The sequence below is a fragment of the Homo sapiens genome, chromosome 14, assembly GCF_000001405.40.
Source record: "Homo sapiens chromosome 14, GRCh38.p14 Primary Assembly".
NCBI classification, from domain to species: domain Eukaryota; kingdom Metazoa; phylum Chordata; class Mammalia; order Primates; family Hominidae; genus Homo; species Homo sapiens.
This window is the reverse complement of record NC_000014.9, coordinates 21,906,413-21,926,903: the sequence shown is the minus strand read 5'-3', so window position 1 is coordinate 21,926,903 and position 20,491 is coordinate 21,906,413. Positions and strand designations below refer to the sequence as shown.

At 36.4% G+C, this 20,491-nt stretch overlaps 2 gene segments (V, D, J or C) and 1 further gene, besides 8 other annotated features; all 3 read right to left on the bottom strand.

Moving 5' to 3' along the window:
- The window catches only part of TRA (T cell receptor alpha locus), a 930,229-nt gene that overhangs the window by 625,229 nt on the left and 284,509 nt on the right, over positions 1-20,491 (bottom strand).
- Positions 2,214-2,222: a recombination feature (nonamer).
- Positions 2,223-2,245: a recombination feature (spacer).
- Positions 2,253-2,766, bottom strand: TRAV14DV4 (T cell receptor alpha variable 14/delta variable 4). The segment is given in 2 exon segments: positions 2,253-2,553; positions 2,718-2,766. Coding segments are annotated over 2 exon segments (350 nt in total), but the record flags the coding sequence as incomplete, so codon positions are not given.
- Positions 2,543-2,553: a sequence feature (TRAV14DV4 leader sequence).
- Positions 2,718-2,766: a sequence feature (TRAV14DV4 leader sequence).
- Positions 8,109-8,117: a recombination feature (nonamer).
- Positions 8,118-8,140: a recombination feature (spacer).
- Positions 8,148-8,646, bottom strand: TRAV13-2 (T cell receptor alpha variable 13-2). The segment is given in 2 exon segments: positions 8,148-8,438; positions 8,598-8,646. Coding segments are annotated over 2 exon segments (340 nt in total), but the record flags the coding sequence as incomplete, so codon positions are not given.
- Positions 8,428-8,438: a sequence feature (TRAV13-2 leader sequence).
- Positions 8,598-8,646: a sequence feature (TRAV13-2 leader sequence).

Genomic DNA, 20,491 nt, shown 5'->3' with positions numbered 1-20,491 from the left:
TTATTTTTTAAAATCTTGAAAAAGATTTTTGGTGAAAAGTGATTTACCCTAAGAGATTATAAAATTTACTATAAAACTACATTCTGAGATTGTCATAGAGTGAAACAAATAGATCAGTGGAACGAAATAAACCATGTGGAAACATTATAGGGAAAGGGAAATTTCATATATTTCAAAAATGGTGATTCATTTTAGAAGAAAAGATGTCTTATTAATATATAAATGAAAAGGTTTGTGCCTCTGTGAGGAACATTCTCCACATGTCCTTCTGGAAGCCACTAAATAATGATCACTTCGTGGATAGGAATGTTGAGAGGCAGGTAAATCTGTAGTATGGAGACTGATTTCTTCCACATTCAAGGTGTTAATAAGATGAAAGGAGCTCTTAGCACATAGTAGACACCTTTAGAAAATAAATGTTTAAGTACCATTTACTCACAGCAAACAAACCTAAATCAAATTAATCCATTAAACAATATAAACAACATAATATATTTAGAAGGGAAATATAAAAGATTTCAATGCCTTTCCTATTTAAAATAATGTCTATAACACAATAAATACAAGGACATTTCAAAAGGTTCGTGTAAAGTAAAATCAAAATAAAAAATATAAACCTTATTCCTGAAATAAGCTCCATTGAGCTCAAAACACTTTTGTAAGCAGTGATACTAGCCATTTGGTCCATTGCTGCATAATTGAGGGTCCTGGGAATTTAATTATGTCAATGAGTTCATTTTTACATTACTAACTGAAGAAAATGGGTGCCTTTTAAAGATTTTTTTAACATTAAGAAACAAAAAGAGGTCCAAGGAGCCAAATCAAGGCTATGTAGATGCCTAACGATTTTCCATCAATACTCTTACAAAATTGCCCTTGTTTGATGAGAGGAGTGAGCAGGATCATTGTCATGGTGAAGAAGAAATCTCTGGTGGAGCTTTCCTAGGCATTTATCTCCTAAAGTTTTGGCTACATATCTCAAAACATGCTCATAATAAGCAAATGTTTTTGCTCTTTGGCCCTCCAGAAAGCTAACAAGCAAAATTCCTTGAGCATCCCAAAAAACTATTGCCATAATTTTTGCACTTTACTGGTCCACTTTTGCTTTGACTGGACCACTTCCACCTCTTGGTAGCCATTGTTTTGATTGTGCATTGCCTTCAGAATTATACTGGTAAAGCCATGCTTTATCTCTTGTTACAGCTCTTCAAAGAAATGCTTCAGGGGCTTGATCCCACTTGCTTAAAATTTTTATTGAAAGCTCTGATCTTGTCTGCAACTGATCTAGGTCCAATAGTTTTGGCACCCATGGAATGGAAAGTTTGCTCAACTTTAATTTTCAGTCAAAATTGTGTAAGCTGGGCCGATTGAGGTGTCTGTGGTGTTGGCTATTGTTTCTGCTGTTAATCATCAGTCCATTTCAATTAGGGCACAAATAAGGTTAACTTTTTCCAAACAAATTGGTGTGGATGGTCTACCACTGCAGGATTTACCTTCAACATTGTCTCATCCCTTCTTAAAATGAGTTATCCACTTGCTAACTGCTGATTTATTTGGAGCACTGACTTCGTAAAGTTTCATAGAGAATTGATGATTTCACCATTCTACTACCCAACCTTCACCATAAATGTGAAGCTTTCCTTTGCTTCATTTTAGCAGAATCTGTTGCTCTAATAGGGGTTCTTTTCAAATTGCTGTCCTATTTTTCTTAGTGCCTCAAAGTAGATCCTGTCTACATATGTTATAGCAATTTAAGTGTAAGTTTATTTTGGTGCAAAAAAAAATTGAAATCCAAAAATAGTTTTTATAATACGTATTTTTCATGAACTTTTTTTAGATCTCCAGTATTTACTGAACAAATTGATATGAAAATTCACAGATATTTTAAATGATTTTTCAGTCACATGTTTTTGAATCCAGTTCAATTTAGTAGCCAAATGGCAAATTGTTTATTGTGGCAGTTTTTTCTCTTCAATCTTCAGTCACAAATTTGGTATGTCTAAACTTTAAACCAAAGATTCAGGGATAAGAAAGTTTTTAGTTAATGATAACTTTGATCATGGTCTATGAACTTAAAGAGGTATTTTCTTAGAGTTAAGTGTATTTCCTACAACACTGCATCTGGGCTGCCACAGCTGTAGCCACTTCCTGTCTGTGATGTTGATTTCCCGCCTTGGTTCTCCAGCAGGTGGAGGTCTCAAGCAGGTCCCCAGGGCTTTTGTACACCTCCCTCCGACAGTTCTGTCACTGTGCCCTCTCTCATTGCACAGAAGTACATTGCTGAGTCCCCCAGTTGTGAAGCGGAGATGACAAGGTTGGCGGATTTTCTTGCCTTCTGGAAATTCAATGAGTAGCGACCTTCTGTTGCATTTTGCTGGTCATAAGACCCCTGATAAATAAGAAAAATCATTTCCCCACTGCTGGGCTGCTTGTACCAGAATAGACCATAACTTGGATCACTGGTGTCATATGTGCAGTCCAGAGTCACAGCCTCCTTTTCCTGCACGAACATTCCTGGTTGGGTTTGAGTTATCTTCTGGGCAATGCCAGGTCCTGAAGGAAAAAAGATAGAATTTGAAGGTTTAAGGATAAAGTGGATTGGGACAAAGAAATTCAATTTTTGTACCCCATTACCCCTCCTTCCCAAAGTTTCCATAAAGATACTTCCAAAGTCCTTAGTTCATACAGAAAGTCCATTCCCACTGGGCCACCCATACCTAGCCACAGTGAAGCTGTGACCACCTTCAGCAGGCTAGAAAGTGACATGTTTGGTTCTTTTTCTAGATAAAAAAAAATTTTCTTCTTTATTTTCAGGACTCTGTACTGTGAAGTGAACCTGGCATGGTGAGAGAAGAATTACTGGGCCATGTGCTGCTGCTACTGCTGCCCTAGAACAGGAAACAGAGGTTTCCTGGTATAGCAAACTAGTGTGTGTCATCTCACACTTCTCTATGTACTGGCTGAGAAGCTCACCCAATGCAGACTTTCTTTTGGATCAACCAACTCTTAATTTGTTAACAAATCTGAAAATAAACATGGTCACATTGAGAGGAAAAATGATCATTTGACCAACTACTGTATTTTATCATTGCACCTGTGATGGAACTGGGAGATTGACACATATTTGATACCTGTAATGAATTATACAGACAATGTAAGATACAATAATCCTCTAGCCTCACATCTATGTATGTTGTTGTTTCTCCTAAAGTACAAATACATCATGTTATGATAAGAAGGTTTGTACAAATCTCTGCAGATCTTTTGACTTATCTATTGATATAACAGTATTCCTCCTCAATTCCAATGCCTATCCAGTTGCCAATCTTGGGGCCAAACAGCAGAAAAACGAATCTCTCTTTGACGAAGAGTTTAGAATTAACCCCTCAGATATCAAGTTGTGTTTTAAAGGTCCCATTCTCTTTTCTATTCAGTTTCAACAGCCAGCTCTGTTCATACAGATCATATTAGATTACAGAGTTTGGTTATTAGGTTATCAAACCTTCGAATTTATATTTTTTCCATGACTTCAATTCAGACTCCAAATAAGCCCCAGCAAGCCACGCCGTTCTGTATGCCCCGCTCTGAAGAGAATGTGTTCTGGACGATCCCATATACAGGACAACTGATTACAGGATCACCGATTGTGACAAATTTTCTTTCTGTGTAAACATTAAAGACCATGCCCTAGTGATACTACTCAACAACACTGCAAACAACTCAGGTCATTGCCTTGCCTACCATAATTTATTTATTAATATAGTAGCCATAGCTTATCGCTCTTGTCTTAAAATAGCTTATCTTAGCCTTGTCAAAATTGGTTGAAGCGTCTTCAGATCTTTCTTGTCAAAATTGGTTGAAGCGTCTTCAGATATCTTATGATATCACGTACAGTACAAGTTATCTATTTTGTAAAAGCATCCATTATTTGTTCTACCAGTTGGTGGAGTAATTATGAAATATTACAAATTTATCTTCATAGTGTTCAACTCCATTACACTTCTCAATCAATAAATCTTTTAACTGTGCTTTTGTCATTTAAGAAGTGTCCACACTCAAACAGATATTTTGAACAGTCTCGTATCAACTTCTGAATTAATTGTTTTAATGTATTAAACTCAAAGTTGAAAAGGAATAACGCAAAACTTTTTATGTAATAACTACCCGACTCTATTATAAAATTCAATCTCTTAGAAGTAAAATTAATGCAAGTGGCTGAAATTGTGACTCTCATTTTTGCATGCCAAATTATGATAAATATAAACAGTGATAGTCAATGCTTTAACACAGGTCACAACTTCCAAATATAATGGAGCCGATGAGGTTCCTTAACCTCCTTTACCTCTTCTTAACCTTCTCATATATTTCATGTATCTTTATAAAAATGGACACCAAATACATAAATTATTTGATGTCTTGACGCTATTGAAATAAATTTCCTAATGAAGACAAAGTTCCATGTATGAAAGGCACTTTAGAAGCTAGAAAAAAATACGTGAGCAGGGGATCATGCTAAACATGGCTTTCTGACTAAAGTCCTTATGCAAGCACCTCTTATGGAACTTAAAGATGCAACCATGGAAAATGTCAATAACTCCACCTTAGATGAATTATTGATTTGTTTGATCAGTGAGGATAAGATATATCAAAGCCAGAAAGGCTGTTTGGTGGAACCAGATGATTGCCAATGAACACTTGTTAATACCCTCCAGGGACCACCCATCGCAGTAGGGACATGTTGACTGCAATATTAAACATTTGTGGGGAGACTTTTCTAGAATACTAGGGAATGCAGACAGTTCATGTCTTTTTTGGAAGCTCCAAAATTCCATGAAAACTGTAAAAGTGGAATATGAACTGGAATACTGTCCTAAGGGAACAGTTGAGTATGTTTCAGACAGTTCTACTCCCTAAGGGGTTGTGAGTATGCACTAGTAAGAGTTGTTTTATTTTCTACATGGGTTGAAGCACTCACCCGTCATAAAGATACAGCACTCACAATAGCTAAATCAATTGATTTCCATTTTTTATCTGTGCCAATCAAATTATCTATATGTAGAGGAACATGTTTTTCTAGGACAGTTATGTAAGGTTTTGCTCTCACTCAGAAACTGCTTTTCTTATCACCTCCTGGTCCTCTGAAAATGTTGAAACAATGTATGACTATTAAGAATAAAATTAGTTACCCTATCAGACATCTGTGAACTCCCGTGGCCTAAAGCATTATTACCCTTAGCTCTAGTGGCCCTGCATTCTTCCCCATCCCAAAGTCATGTGTCATCTCACTATGAACTGGTCACTAGTAGGCCCATATTACTCAGAATGTTCTGAACCACACATATTCCATTCTGACACACTTAACTATTAATAGATAAATAAACTCATTATATTCAGTCCTTTAACCAACAGGTACAGGTTTTCCTTCCTGGCCTTTCATTTAATCAGCTTTTACTTTACCTAAACCTGGGTGACTTGGTATTCAAAAAAATTTTCAAAGAAATATTGCCTTTGAACTTGTGGAAATGTGTTCTTGACAACATAAGAAGAAAAGCCAATGTGACCATAGCAACAGGGATTGGGGTGATGGCACCACAAGCCAAGAAATGCTGGCAAAGCTAGAAGAGGCAAGGAACAGATTCTTCTCTGCAGCCTCTGAAGCGGGCCTTACTGACTCCTTGATTTCAGCCCAGTGAAGATGATTTAAAAAAATATGTATCTATTGTTTTAAGACAGCAAGTTTGTACAGAGGCAACAAAAAAATACATAAACCTTGGTTTATTTGTTCAATGTGTTTTATTTAGCTCCTTTGATCTGTTTCATTGTATGCCAACCTCAGAAGGTAATTTTATAGTAAATTTTATTACCTGCTAATGTCTCTCCTCATCAGTACTCTTTTCCATTTAAAGTTTAATGCTTGAATGTGTCTGGATCTAAGCTGGGTACTGACTTTGCACACTCTAGCTGGATAATTTTTTTTCTTACATTGGAAAAATTGACAACCAAGTAAGATACAGCAATTAAGCCAATAGCAATTACACTCTTTCTTCTAAACAAGCAAAAAATAAATAGACTATAAGCCATGATTCCCAATCACTCCATTTCATTCTTGGAGGAAATGGACTGATCAAGAGTCAGCTTGCTTCTCCGGAGAGGAGCTAGTGGTATAGACAGGGAAATAACAAAAGCCAGTTGAGTTACTGGGCTACAATACTGACCTTCCTTGTTCAGTTGTTTTTAAACCCCAATTTAATCTAATGACTTTTCCTATAAGACCTAGCTAATAACTAACAGCCATAACTCAGCCAGAAGGGATCATTCTCACCCTACCAATCGCCGGTTATATCCATCCTTAGGAATAATATGAGGGATCTTGAAATTAGCCTACTCTTGACCACAGGTGGGAGAATTAGGGAATTAATTATTTATGCAACTTCTTTATTTCCATTATTTTTATCAACAACACGAAAAGATACAACTTTTGAAAAGGAAACTGCACTCGTAATGTTTAAAGCAGTCAAAACACGAAAGTGAGGCGGGGTATTTGGAACAACCTAGCATAAATTAACTATCCAAATGCCTCCTGCAATTTACTAATAAGAATTGAATAATGTAGCTGAAAAATATTTATTAAAAACATTGCCACATACCTCAGAAAGAAAGATAAAGGTAGCAATAAAAATGAAATGTCTAGAAAAAAATTTAATTATCTTAAAACGATAAAGTTTTATGGAAAAGAATGACATAGATAAATGGAAAGAAATATGCTCTCAAATATTCAACTTATTCAAATATACATTTTCAGGAGTTTAATTATTCACACATAAAATTATACGTTTAATTCAACCACAAAGCCTAAGTTAAAATTTTGAATATACAATAGTTTAATCCATTTTTTCTTTCTTTAACAAACATCTATTGATTATTAACAATGTGAAAAAGCTTATGCTAGGTTCTGCAGAAACAGAGTGATTAAAAAACATAACTCTTCTCAATTATGTGAGAGAGTAAATATGAAGAGATACCAATAAGATTTTGAAGAATATACTGATGACTCTAATCTGAAGCTCACATTTTAAAATCACTTCCTGTTTTAATTTCCCTCGCACACACAGAGTATATGTCCAAACTAGACTCTAAAGGAAAACTCATCACGTTTTCCCAACAAGAAACAGCAGGTAGAAGGGACTGCCAAATTTTACCACAGATACAGAGAGTAAGAAAATAAAAATAACTGTGACTGGTGAAAATTTCTCACGGAGCTATTAAAAAGCATGTGTTTGAGGAGAGGACGAAGTGAGAAAAGCTCAATTCGAGATATAAGAATAGGTGAAAAAATCATGATCCTAATTATAATAGGACTCTATCAAGAAACAAATCTAAATATTAGGTTGGTGCAAAAGTAATTGTTATTTTTGCCATGACTTTTAATGGCAAAAACAGCACTTACTTTTGCACCAACCTAATATTAGCAAAACCTATCTGGGTACAGAATTATCAATTTTGTATTTTTTATATTTTACACTATCTGGTTTTGGCATGTAATGTTTTACAATAAGAAAAAGATAACAAAAGCAATTTTTGAAAACTAAAAGTTAAAATTTATCCATAATAGGGATTGCAATATTGACACTAAGGGGTTATTCATAGGAGAGAAGTCTGAATAGCAAATGTAAAGTCACCTTTGAAGACTAGATTACAAAATCCAACATCACTAAATCTCTGTAAGGATCCCTTGAGCAGAACCTCCTGATTGCTGAACATGTGGTGGGTGGCAGAGCCAGAGAAGGCATGGAAGCTCAGGGCCATTTTTCCCATACCTTGCCCTATGCGTCTCTTTAGCTGACTCTTTACTTTACTATGTACATGTGTGTCAAAACTTCATGTTGTTAACTTAAATGCGTACCATATATTTTTTTGAAAAACGGAATCCATTAAGCATCAACTGGCCAACAAAATGCTCTAAACCTTTCTGGGTCACTTTGAATCTAACCTCATTACATGGTTTTAATATCTATATGTTAGTTTCCACTTATGAACAAACAAAATGACAAGTGCTATAACTAAAATTTATTGCAAAGGAAAGGGATGCTGCTTCACCTCCCATCTCAGGTTTGGGTGATGGTTACAGATGCCTGGAAAGCAATGTGTATTCTCTGCACAAAAGTAGACAGCTGAGTCTCCAGGTTGAGTAGCTGCAATTTGCAGAGAGAGATGTTTCACTGTCTTATTCAATAAAACGGTGACTCTTTGGCCTTGCCTTTTGTCCATATTTGAACGAATGTCTATAATGAATTGAGGACCTTTTCCAGATTCTTGCTTGTACCAAATGAAGTAGTCTGAGGCGCTGTTTGAATAAGCACAGTTGATAATAGAGTTGTCACCCTCCTGGACACTCAGGGTAGGAAGATGCAGCCCCACACTCTCTCCTCTGCTCACCCCTGTGCAGAAAGAAAAAGAGAAAGGTTTATCAAGTTATTATTCTCCAGAATTTTCTTTTTCTATAGTAACTAGAGGAAGCCTAAATAAAGCAAGACTTCCCCCTGGATGTCTCAAAATCATCAACTAATATACTGTGTTACCCAAAACTCTAAACTTACAGTCCAGCTGCAGCCACAAGTACATAAATAAAGCTCGAATGCCTGCCATCATTGTTCTTCCCAAATAGGATCAGTCATAAACCTGCAATCTCCAGCCATAAGAGCTACTTCCATCATCGGGTATTCCTTTCTTTCCTCTAACAATCATAGTGGTTTCTCACATTGTCTACTCAGCCAATAGAAAAAGGCTCTACTTCTGCCATAAACCTATTTAATCAGAATCCACTAAAATGAAACCTCTGTGTGTTCTGCATCAGCAGAGAAGCACTGCCATCTTGTGGTCACATTCGTAGCTACTAAACTTGCAGTTTGAATGTTTTTCTATAACCCTAGGAGGGACTCAGATGCACAAAAGGAGCAATAGGTCAAACAAATAAAGTCTTCACTCTGAGATGAAGTTCACAGTAAGAATGTAGATATCAAGATTGATATTTATGCAAACTAATGAGTCATTGTTAAAAAGTTAGAAAGAGGTAGATGTTGCAGGTGTTTATACAATGATGCACCAAGTTTACATGTTTGAAATCAGGAAAACACCATGATTCACTGTCCTGGACAAACAAAAGTAATACATTCCCTTGCAGTCAAATCGGTCATCATGATTTGTTTGTTATGGAGAAAGACTCTTTCTTAAAGGAATATGTAAGCCAAAGATAAGAGTAAGAGAGAGAGGACTACTCAATATTTCACGTGCATATTATCTCAGGCTCTGCTTCTCCAAGACTGGTCTTCCCCATGACTTTCTATTCCCAGAGACTTGACAGTACCAACAGTCGAAATGTGGAATCTTTCTTTGGTAAGGATGGCTTTAATAAAAGGTAAAGAATTAAAGTACAATGATAAAGGAGGAAGGGAACAAGTTCCATGAGTTATTAAATACTCCAACAATAGGAAAGTTTGACCCATAGATTGGGCTGGTTTGCAAGGAGAAATCTGGCATGTTTTAAGAAACCTTTTCCTATTGCTATGTGGCTTGTATTCTGCAAAGTGCAGAAAAAACAAGGAGAAATTCTCAGAAAACATCAGGCTGCAGGCTCCAAAAATGAAACCACATGTAAATTTCTATTAAGGTGCTTTTATTTTCTGATACCAAAATGAATGATATCAATATGGCATGTCCTTAAATACAATGATTGACTCATATCTTCAGTGGAACTTGCCTCTAAAATATGAGCCAACTCCTCTGGCATGGACTGCTCTTGCCTTAGCCATTGCTAGCTCAGGTTCCATATCTGCCGTTTTTCTCCCAAACTCCACTACAGTGTTCTTCCCTAAGATATTGATAAAGTCCTTCAGTCTTGTACATTTCTGGGTTTATCTCTTCTTGCAAAAAAAATTGCTTATCTACTTTAATTTTTGATACGTTCTGATTACTTCCATAAAACTAAATCTATGGAAGCCAAAATATTGCCTGTGTCTGCTAGGAGGGAGAGTGCAAAACTAAATAAGTGACCATGGGAAATGGTTCCTCAGATACCAAGACTATCTGGTTTCCAGAAGAAAAGTGCATTTCCTGTGACTTGTACTCACTAGGCCCCTGGAATTATAAAGACTGAATATAATTTCTTATTCACATCTTGCACCCTTAAGTATGTAAGGACAGTTATGATGAAAAATAGCAACTAAAACATATAAATATAGATATGTATACATAAAATGTGTGTTTTTACATATGTAAAACTTCTCCATTCTAAGGATTTTCTCTTTTCTCACTCATTCCTCATACAATATAATTCTCAAATCCTTTATTGGATGAGTTTCCCTCCTTTTGGTGACAGATAATTTAGGTCAATATTTGGCCTTTTGAGTATAGCATTAAGAACTGAATGTAATGGTCTAAATATGACCACTCATATGGATCATAGTATTCCACATATTAACTATGCCTTAGGTATGGCCATCCCCTGGACAAAATTCCCAACCCTATGATTATTTCATTGAATATTACCTAACTCATTGTCAATGTGTTGGTCCAGAAAAGATTTTCTCACACCTTTATGAACTATCAACCACTTGAGGACATGTTACCCTTAGCTTCCCTATTCTAATTATTATTTTTTGACAATGTAGAGTAATGCTCACTATGTCCACATCCTTCCTTCAAGGAATATCCACCCAGCATAATGAATATATCTTACTATTTTTAGGAAAGTCCTTAGAAATACCTCTGGGGGTTGAGGGTGGCACCACCATGTTTGGCTCACTCCTACAGCAGCCAGTGAGTCATGGACTGGATTTCCTGGTAGAATAACAGTGGCTCAGCCTGAATATCTTTCTTGCCCAAAGTGGTAAATGTTTACACAAACTGGAACTCTCCGTTCTCATGGTCAAAGTGATTGAACCAAGCCTTTCCCGGAACCAAAATGCAGAGGTCAACCTGGCAGGGCTGCCATTAGATAGTTTCTCTTTGTTCAACAATATGTGCCTGCAGGAATAGGCAAGAGCAAGAAGCTAAGGAGGAAGGGAGGAAATCCAGTTTCTTTCTACTGCTAGATCATTTACTATCTAATGGTTTCATACTGGCATCTTGGATATAGTTTCTGTGTTTATAAAATGAAGTTGAACTAAAAGGTTTCTAAATGCTTTTATAGGTCTAAAATTCTTTTATACTATTTAACAAGGCAAATATTTACTGAGGACTGATTGTGTACAGCATAGAGCATGGGAGTAGGCAGAAGTTATCCTGCATCAAGGAACTCCCAAGACCATTTTCACACCCACAGGCAATCTAGTGGGTCTGAGCTTACCCTAACCAATCCTTGGGCTCCTTCAGAAGCAGAGACAGGGTCTTCTGTGATCTCAGCACTTTGGGAGACCTAGACAGGAAGATCACTTGGGCCCAGGAGTTCAAGGCTAAAGCAAACTATAATTGTGCCACTGCACTTGAGCTTGGGCAACAGAGCAAGACCACTTCTCTTAAAAAAAAATTTGTTTAAAAAAGTAACAAAGTGGCTTCATGATATGTATATGATTCACTATGTTTGTTTGTGCATCCTACCATTGTATCTTCAATTATAAGAAAAATTGATTTGAAAATTAGCCTCTATGTCGATAACTGGGTCATTCAAAACTTTGCATGAAAATAATGTTCCTTTCTATCAAGCTGCTACACTTAGATTTAATTTCTATTTTGAAACCTGCAGATATTCAAATTGTAATGTATTAATTTTCAATACTAGAGTTTCTAAACTTTTTGAAGGATTCAGGTACTCTTCAACTTGCCTTATTGCAATGTTCATGATCAGTCTTTTATTTAAAAGTTTTTAAGTTTAAAAACATAAGTTTTAAAAATCATCTGAAGAGGAAACCACCCACAGTGGCCCAGTGAGACTGCACAGCAATCTCTCCAAATTCATGGGTGTGAATAGTTCACGAGAGGAAGAGGCAATATTTCTAATGTATGAAGATATAGGTTTTTTTTAAAAAAAAGAAGCACTTTATGTAAGACTAGTTTATGGATAGTATGTGAGGAAGGGGGATGATACCTCTCAGAAGAATCTGTGTCTCAGCTAGGTTAAATAGAGCTTTAAAGAGTCATGGGAAGAGAGATCCCATTTCCCAAATTACACAGTTTGACAGAAAATTGGAGAATTCAAATATATGAAAATTCTAATAAAGGAAAACTATTTGATAGCATGCATTGCAAATTTAGAAATAAATAGTTTCTTGAAATCAGGGCATTAGAAAATGTTTCCAACTAGAGGTTGGTTGGTTAGAGGAAAAATAGGATGTGCGTATGATATCCACTCTAATTGCATTTCTACCTCTCCCCTTCCTCTTCCCAGACCTTTCCCCACACACCCTGCAGGCCCTCACAGCTGTTCTCATCAGGCCACATATTGCTGGTCAAATTAAATATTGTCCCCTCCCTATTCTCTTTCTGTTCTTCATCCTTATTTTATTCCTATTTTCTTCTCTTCTGTTTATTCTTTTTCCTTCTAGTCTCAGAGAAGATATATGAAAAGATCAGATATCAGGGGTATTTAGAATAATTTCCAAGTCAGTGAATTTCATGAATTTTAATCATAAAAATTTAGAAACTGAAAACATGGAATGAAGATGTTTTCTAATGAACATCCATGCTCGCAATGCCCAGTAAAACTCCAATTCCCTTACCTCTGCTTACAGAATCATCCTCACAATGGATTTATAGACCTATGAACTCCAGCTTTCTGAGGTTTTATATAGAATGTCAGAGCTGAAAACCTAAGATGAACCTTACACACACATCACGCTCCACCCCGCCCCAGCTCCCTGTTATCTGTGATTTGACTGACTCACATGCCCTTTTGTATCCTGTTCCGTCCGCTGAGACCATCAGAAAAAGTCTTCATTTCGGAAGTCCTAGAGTGCCCCCTAGTGGACTGAAACCATCAACAAAGACCACTTTGCACCAACTTAACTCCTCAGTAGTCACACACACAGCCCCATTCACTTCATGTTTCCTATGAAGGAAATGGAGGCGGTCAGAAAACAATATAGCTGCCTAGACTGAATGGGGATTAACAGTGAACCAATTACCACTTTTAAAATGCCACTTCATGGAAATTAATATCTTAAAATAATTTGACAATTCCCATCTTGCGCTATTTATTTGAATTCTCTGATTTTGTTTTAGAAAATCCAAAAAGATTTTTTGAAGTATTACCATAAGTGATTAATTTATTAGGTTTTAAGAGTATGTAAAAAGTGATGAGACATTAGTTCATAATCTACTGAAGAGTACAAAACTACACATGTCTATAATAGAATCAAAGAGTGGGATCCTAAGCAGAATGTGAACTAAAAGCTATATGATCCCAGAGGTGGGAGAAATACTTAGGAAGGTTGGACAAGACCTTATAAAAAGGGTGGTCATTTCCCTCTTTCTCTCCTTTTTCATGAGGATAATAGAATAGAATATGGATAAACCTTTATGATGGCTTTTATGACTTTTTATTGGTTTAATATTATAAAGAATTCATGAACATTTGAAATTATTAAAAGTAATACAACATACCAGGTAGACGAAAATCCACTTTTACTACCACTCCCAGTTCTGATTCTTTCATCACTCGTTACCCTAATTCTCCCTTCATCTTATCAATTTGGAGTTGATACTTCCAAATGTTTTACTATAGCATTATATACATGTACTAAATACAAAAAATGCTGAAAATAAATAGTATTTCATTTATAATTTTAAAATTTAATACCAAATGATGCATCTCATGTATACCTTTTTGTAACTCACACTATAAATTCAATAATATATCTTGCAGAGCTTATTATATTAACACATACGGGAACTTCTGCTACATTGCACCCTATTAGAGATATACTTCAGTTTATATAGTCCTCTCCCTATTGATGAAGACTTAAGATGATGTGTGATATAGTTTGGATCTGTGTCCCTGCCCAAATCTCATGTTGAAATGTAATCCCCAATGTCCCAGGTGAGTGATGACTACCTGGGCTGGTGGTGTGGGGATAAAATAATTTACCAAGACTGTTGTAGATAAAGAAAGGCAGATCTATTAAAGAAAGTATGAAAGTAGTTGCCAGGGAGCAATCAGCCGAAGAGGAGCTGATGGCAAGGAAACAAAGGCCTGCTGGAGATTTTATAGGATGTTTTTGGGTTGCCGAGTGCTGCATGCAGTACTGGTAATGCCAAGGTAGCAAGGAACTAACTTGCATTCTTCTGTCAACTGAGGTTTTTGATGATAGATAGAGGTGTTTGATGATAAGCAGGAAGTCTGTGAGTTATGTACGTTATTTGCTCAGGAGAGCTATAGGTCCTGAGCCATAAAGAAAGACCTATAGCTTATCTGCTTCCTCTTTCTGTTTATATGTCCTGGACCATGAAAAAAAGGCAGACCTATAGCTTATTTTCTTTATCCCTTTGCTTTCCCCTGGTCCTGCTAGCCTGACTCCTTTTCCCTAATCAGGATTCCATACCCAATGCTGGAGGTCAGGCCTGGTAGGAGGTGATTGGGTCATGGGGGTGGATTTCCCACTTGCTACAGTCCTGAGTTCTCCTGAGATCTGGTTGTTTAAAAGTGTGTAGCACCTTCCCTTTCTCTCTAGGTTCTGCTTTTGCCATGTAAGACGGCCTCTCCCTCTTTACCTTCCATCTTGAGTAAAAGCTCCCTGAAGCCTCCCCAGAAACAGATGCTACTGTGCTTCCTGTATGGTCTGTGGAACTGTGAGCCACTTAAATCTCTTTTCTTTATAAATTATCATGTCTCAGCATTTTTATAACAGTGGGAGAATGGACTAATACAATGATTTTTCTTTAACTATGAAATACAATGCTGCAATAAACTTTTTGAGCATTCTACTTTATTCACATGTTCCCATGTTTCTCCAGGAGCAAAGACTATGAGCCAGTGAAGGGATCTATGTGGCTAATGGTGAAAAACACTCCAGGCAGAAGGAAGATCAGGGACAATGGCTCTGAGGATGAAGGGAGCAAATTCATGTTGCAATTATTGTGTCGGATGCTTTTCTTTTTTATTACTTTTCTTAATGTACATTGGAGCTATAGTTTATTGTTCATTTCATAATATCTTACTGAAATTATTGTCCTGATGTATATAGCTTATGTGTAGTTTCTTCCAATCAGCCACGAAGGTAATTCTAAAATTCATAAGTCAGCAGGAGGTAAAGGAGAAGGACTGGGATATACAAGCAAAATGTTACAGAATAACACTGAGGGAAAAAAAAGAATAACATTGGGCATAAAAATTAGATTTATATATGCATACACATATATACATACATTCATATGTATTTTATATTTCTATACATACATTTATATAACAAGGGTACTTATCATAACAGAAATACACATTACATTTTCAAAGCAGTATGAAGAAAAATCAAACTTTATCAATGCAAGAGAAGCCAGGCTAAAAAGAAATAAGAAAAAAATCAAGAGAATGCTGCATAAAACAAATATATTTAAAATGAATCCAAGCATGTCAGCAACCAAAGCATATATTTTTTAAAAAAGATTATCTGGTTGAATCAAAATTTAAAATATTGATACATACTACTTGAAAAAAAAAACAGAAAACAATCCTCAAGAAAGCTGAGCATATAGGATGGAATTCTTCCTGCTGCCCCTGTGTTTAAGGACTGTAGCCACCTTCCTCATCCACTTAACCCGCTTCACTTGCCCTAAACAACTTCAAAAGAATTTCAATTCTTTTTTCTTTTTTAAATGTCAGTTCTGCTGATGAGGTGGTAAAGGAGGAGTGCAGGAGAAAAACAGCAAGTTAGCTAAATTGGCTTCTGCACAGGTAGAATCTAATATTAGACAAACGATAAGACAGAGGTAAAAAAAAGTAACATGCAGACAGAAAACGGAATGGGGAAAGAAAGGAAAACTGTCAGAGATAAAATACCAAGGAGAAATTAAGATTTATCTTCAGAAAAGAACAAATCTAAACATGAGAGAATTCTGCACCCCAGTGGAGCAGAGGAAAAAGAAGGCAAGTCTGAAAAACAGCTTTTAATTTTTATCACTGGTCTTTTGCAATGTAGAATATCTTATAAGCTATCTGTATTTGTAATTGCACATTTCTCCTTCCTCTAGAAAGAAACTCAATACAGGAAAATCTCCATCAAAGTTATACACGATCATTGTGTGCACGAGAAGTTAGTAAAGCATTGCACAAAGAAAGGTTTCAACTGTCTTGTTTGTGAACGTAATATTTACTTGGAGAGTTGTTATGGACTGAGCTCTATCCAACCCAAAATTTACATGTTGAAGCCCTTACCCCCAGTACCTCAGAACGTAATGGTGCTTGAAAATAGGCTCTTTAAAGAAATAATTAATGTAAAATGACATCACATAAGTGGACTCTAATTCAATATGACTGCTCTTCTTATAAGAAAAGTAAATTTGGACACAGACATGCGTACCCTCAGGGGCAAGACCGTGTAAGGACACAATGAAAAGGCAACATGATCTGCAAACTTCAGAAGAAATTAACCCTGCTGACAACTTGATCTTGGGCTTCTAGCCTGTGGAACTGTGAGATAATAAATTATGTTGTTTATGTCACCTAGTCTGTGATATTTTGTTATGCCAGCCTTAGAATATTAATATAAAGGTCAATTTTATTTTCCTATTATATAAGACATATCACAAAAAACAATATGAAGTTATAAATATACATATAAACTATCTTCAACATTTTAACATTCTACCTTTTATTTTTATTTTTATTTATTTATTTTTTTGAGACAGGGTCTCACTCTGTTTCCCAGACTGGAGGGCAGTGGTGCAATTGCGGCTCACTGCAGCCTTGACCTCCCAGGCTTAAGCAATACTCCCTGCCTCAGCCTCCTATGTAACTGGGATCACAGACATGTGTCACCATGCCCAGCTGATGTTTTTTTACTTTTTGTAGAGATGGGATTTCATTCTGTTGCTCAGGCTGGTTTCAATCTCCTGGACTCAAGAGATTCTCTCGCTTCAGCCTCTCAAAGTGTTGGGATTACAGGCATAATCCACCGTGCCTGGCCACATTCTACTTTTATACCCATGTTTTGGCGCATTTGTGTCCTAAATAAAGGTATTCCCTTGTCTTAGATATTCCTGTAAAAAACTGTGTACAGAGATCCAACTATCCTGAGAACTTTGTTAATGTGCTTAAAAGATTGAAAATGTGTATTGTATATGCTGTATATTTGGTATTAAATAATAGATTAGTGAAATTTTCTTCATAAGTTACCTAACAAGCTTTAAAAGGTTTTAGTATGTACTGTAAAGGGCAAAGTGCCTCTAAATATTAAATAAGTTCTCTAGAATAACTGTTGAGCAAGGATTATAATTACATGACTTACAGATCTTCAGGACCTGCAGGAACAATGATCTAAATTTTGTTCATAATATCTATCAGTTACCAAGTAAAAATAAATATATCACAGTGTTAGGATGTATAATTTACATTAAATCTTTTCGACAAAAGCCAGAGAATATTGGATATGTACTAGTTAAGTCTCAACTCTAAGGAGAGTCAATTGACTTAGTCAGGAAAGCAAATTCCAGGGTGGTCAGCTACTGTTGTTATTAATACGTAAGGCCACAACAGAGGAAACTACAGTTCAGCTACCCACAGCTTGGATAATACCCAAAGCTTTGCTAAATAGCATAGGGAATATTAGATGTTGGGTTTTTATTTGCAAAACTAATGATACAGTAGGTACCATAATGAATGATAGAAATTGGTTTTTAAATAAAGGTATTTAAGATACATGTTTCAACTGAAGTATTTTAGAGACACGCCCTACCCTTGAAAGACAGGATAGAAAAATCTAGAACAACTGTACCTTGCACTCTTAAGAATGATACCAAAGATTTAATCCCTGAAAGATTCTATGTCCAGTCAGTGGTGTGCGCAGCTGAATGGATAAACAAATTGTGCTTTATTCATATAATAAGATACTACTCAGCAATAGCAATAATGAATGACTGATATACATGAGAACATGGGGGAATCTAAAAAACACGATGAATGAAAGAAACCAGGCACAAAAGAGTAACTACTGTATGATTCCATTGATTTGAAGTCTACAATGGGTAAAGTAAATCTAAGGTGATAGAAATAAGAACATCTATTGCCTCCAGAAGGTGAGTTGACTAGAAAGGCACACATAAAACCTTCTGGGGTGACAGAAATATTCTGTCTACAGATAGTTTTGCAATTATCATTGTCTTCTTCCTCCATCTGAAGGAAATAGAAAATCAAAAAATAATGATGTATTGAGAGAGTTACATGCAAGAAAAATGACTTAGAATTACGATCTCCAGACACATCCTCATAGGTGAATTAATGCCTATTTGTGCAGTATGCTAAACCTTTTAAAATTGATTTCAATTTGCACCAATGGTATAATAACATTCTGTGTATAATGTGCACAAAAATTTTAATAGTAAAATTAATTTTATTAATATATTAACAATATTTCCAAATTCTTAATAAAATTATTGTAAAATTTTCTCATAATTATATAACAACAATGTAAATAAAACAATAAGCAGGCAAAACAAATCAATAGAGAAATAAAACAAGAAAACTACTTTGATATCTCAGGCAGGAGTGGGCGGGGAGATGGAAGATGCTCTCCAGTTGCTTGAAGTCCTTGGTGCATGTCTAAGTCGAGTCCAATCAGGAAAGAGAAACCATAGAATTTCAACAGAAAAAATTTAAGGATTAATAAACAGAGTATTAGAGTAACAAGAGAATGAATAATATGAAGAAAAGAAATTCTGCTATTCCTATTCCTGTAGGAATAGCAGACATAAGGTGCAGCCTCTACTCCTAGGGCAGGGTAGGATAACCAGGGAAGAGGCCTGTAGCCCCACCCTCAGGGCTGAGACCCAGATCTTATTGAAAAGAAACAGCTGTGGCTCACTGGATGAAAGGGAAGTTGCTGTGGTGCTGTCCCAGCAGAACTTGCTAGAAATTCACCCTCTAGAACATGGCAGAAAATCATCCTCTAGGACACTGGGGAAAGCTGTTCACAGGGAGGTGTCTCACTGCAGGATCTCTTTCACAGAATCGCCCTAAAATGGGGGGGTTCTGGAGGAAACTGCAGGGCACTGTGCACTGCAGGTGCCTCCCATGGTGCAGGATCCTGATGAGTGAGCACATGGAAAGCAGAAAGCAAAACTTTTTCTTCCTGACTCTCTACTACAAAGCTTAACATTGTGTCAACTGGCAAAGAAAAATGGTCGAAGGTTCCAGATTCACCTTCACAGAAGAGGCAAGGAGTGAATTTGGAGCTGAGAGTCAATAAATCGATACCTTCAACTACTTCAAGCTTCCCTATGCAACACACACATTCTTCTACAAACATTTGAAACATGTACAACAACAAAATAATTCTATTCCTCTATCTCCTTCAAGATACAGAACTCCATCTTGCAACTGAAGAACTTTTCATCCTTTCTCCAAAATGAGAAGATGCACAATCCCAAAAGTCATTGACTTCATCACTGATTATATTAATAATTCTTCAAATTCAGTGACAGTCCTTCCTAAGTTTTTTTTAAAAGCAGGATCTTGCTCTGGCATCCAGGCTAGAGGGCAGTGTCATGATCACAGCTCAGTGTAACTTTGAACTCCTGGGCCCACGCAATCCTCCTGAGTAGCTAGGACTACAGGTGGGCACCACCATGCCTGGCTAATTTTTTTAATTGTTTGTAGAGATGTGGTCTTGCTATGTTGCCCAGGCTGGTCTTGAAATCCTTGCCTCAAGTGATCCTCCTACCTAAACCTCCCACCGTGCTGAAATTACAGCTGTGAGCCACCTCACCCAGCCTGAAAATTCTGTTACCTTTACACTAAATTATAAAGTTTGTTTCCAACAGCTTGTATATCAGATAAAAAATACGATGTAGGGAGAGAAGAAAATGTTTAGCATACATGCTGTTGTCTCCCAGTCAGGGCTCTAGCTTGGTCTTCAGTAAAGTGTTCCGCCTTTCAATTAGGGCAGCTGCTTCTCGGTGATGGAATATGTGGTAAGATCAGTTAATTTCATGAAAAGTCAGAATTCTTTCTGAAAAGTCAGAATGATTGATATCATTGATAAAATAACTCAGAATCTCCACTTTCTTAATATAATTCCTTATTTTGGAAAGTTTCTCCTACAAATCACGTACTCATATAAAAGCAACAAATTATTAATAGAAGGAAGGAAGATTACTTTGATTTTTCAGGCAGAGGTGAGGTAGGGGAGATGGGGAATGCTCTCCCAGCTGCTCAGGGTCCTTGGTATGGAATTTATTTTTCTTTAATATTCAGTTTGAGATCAGAATCAAAAGAAACGGGCAGTTCTTTCTCAAATCGATCTGCATGAAGTGCTCATGATACTATGACAAGTACCTTTGGGCAGTGTGG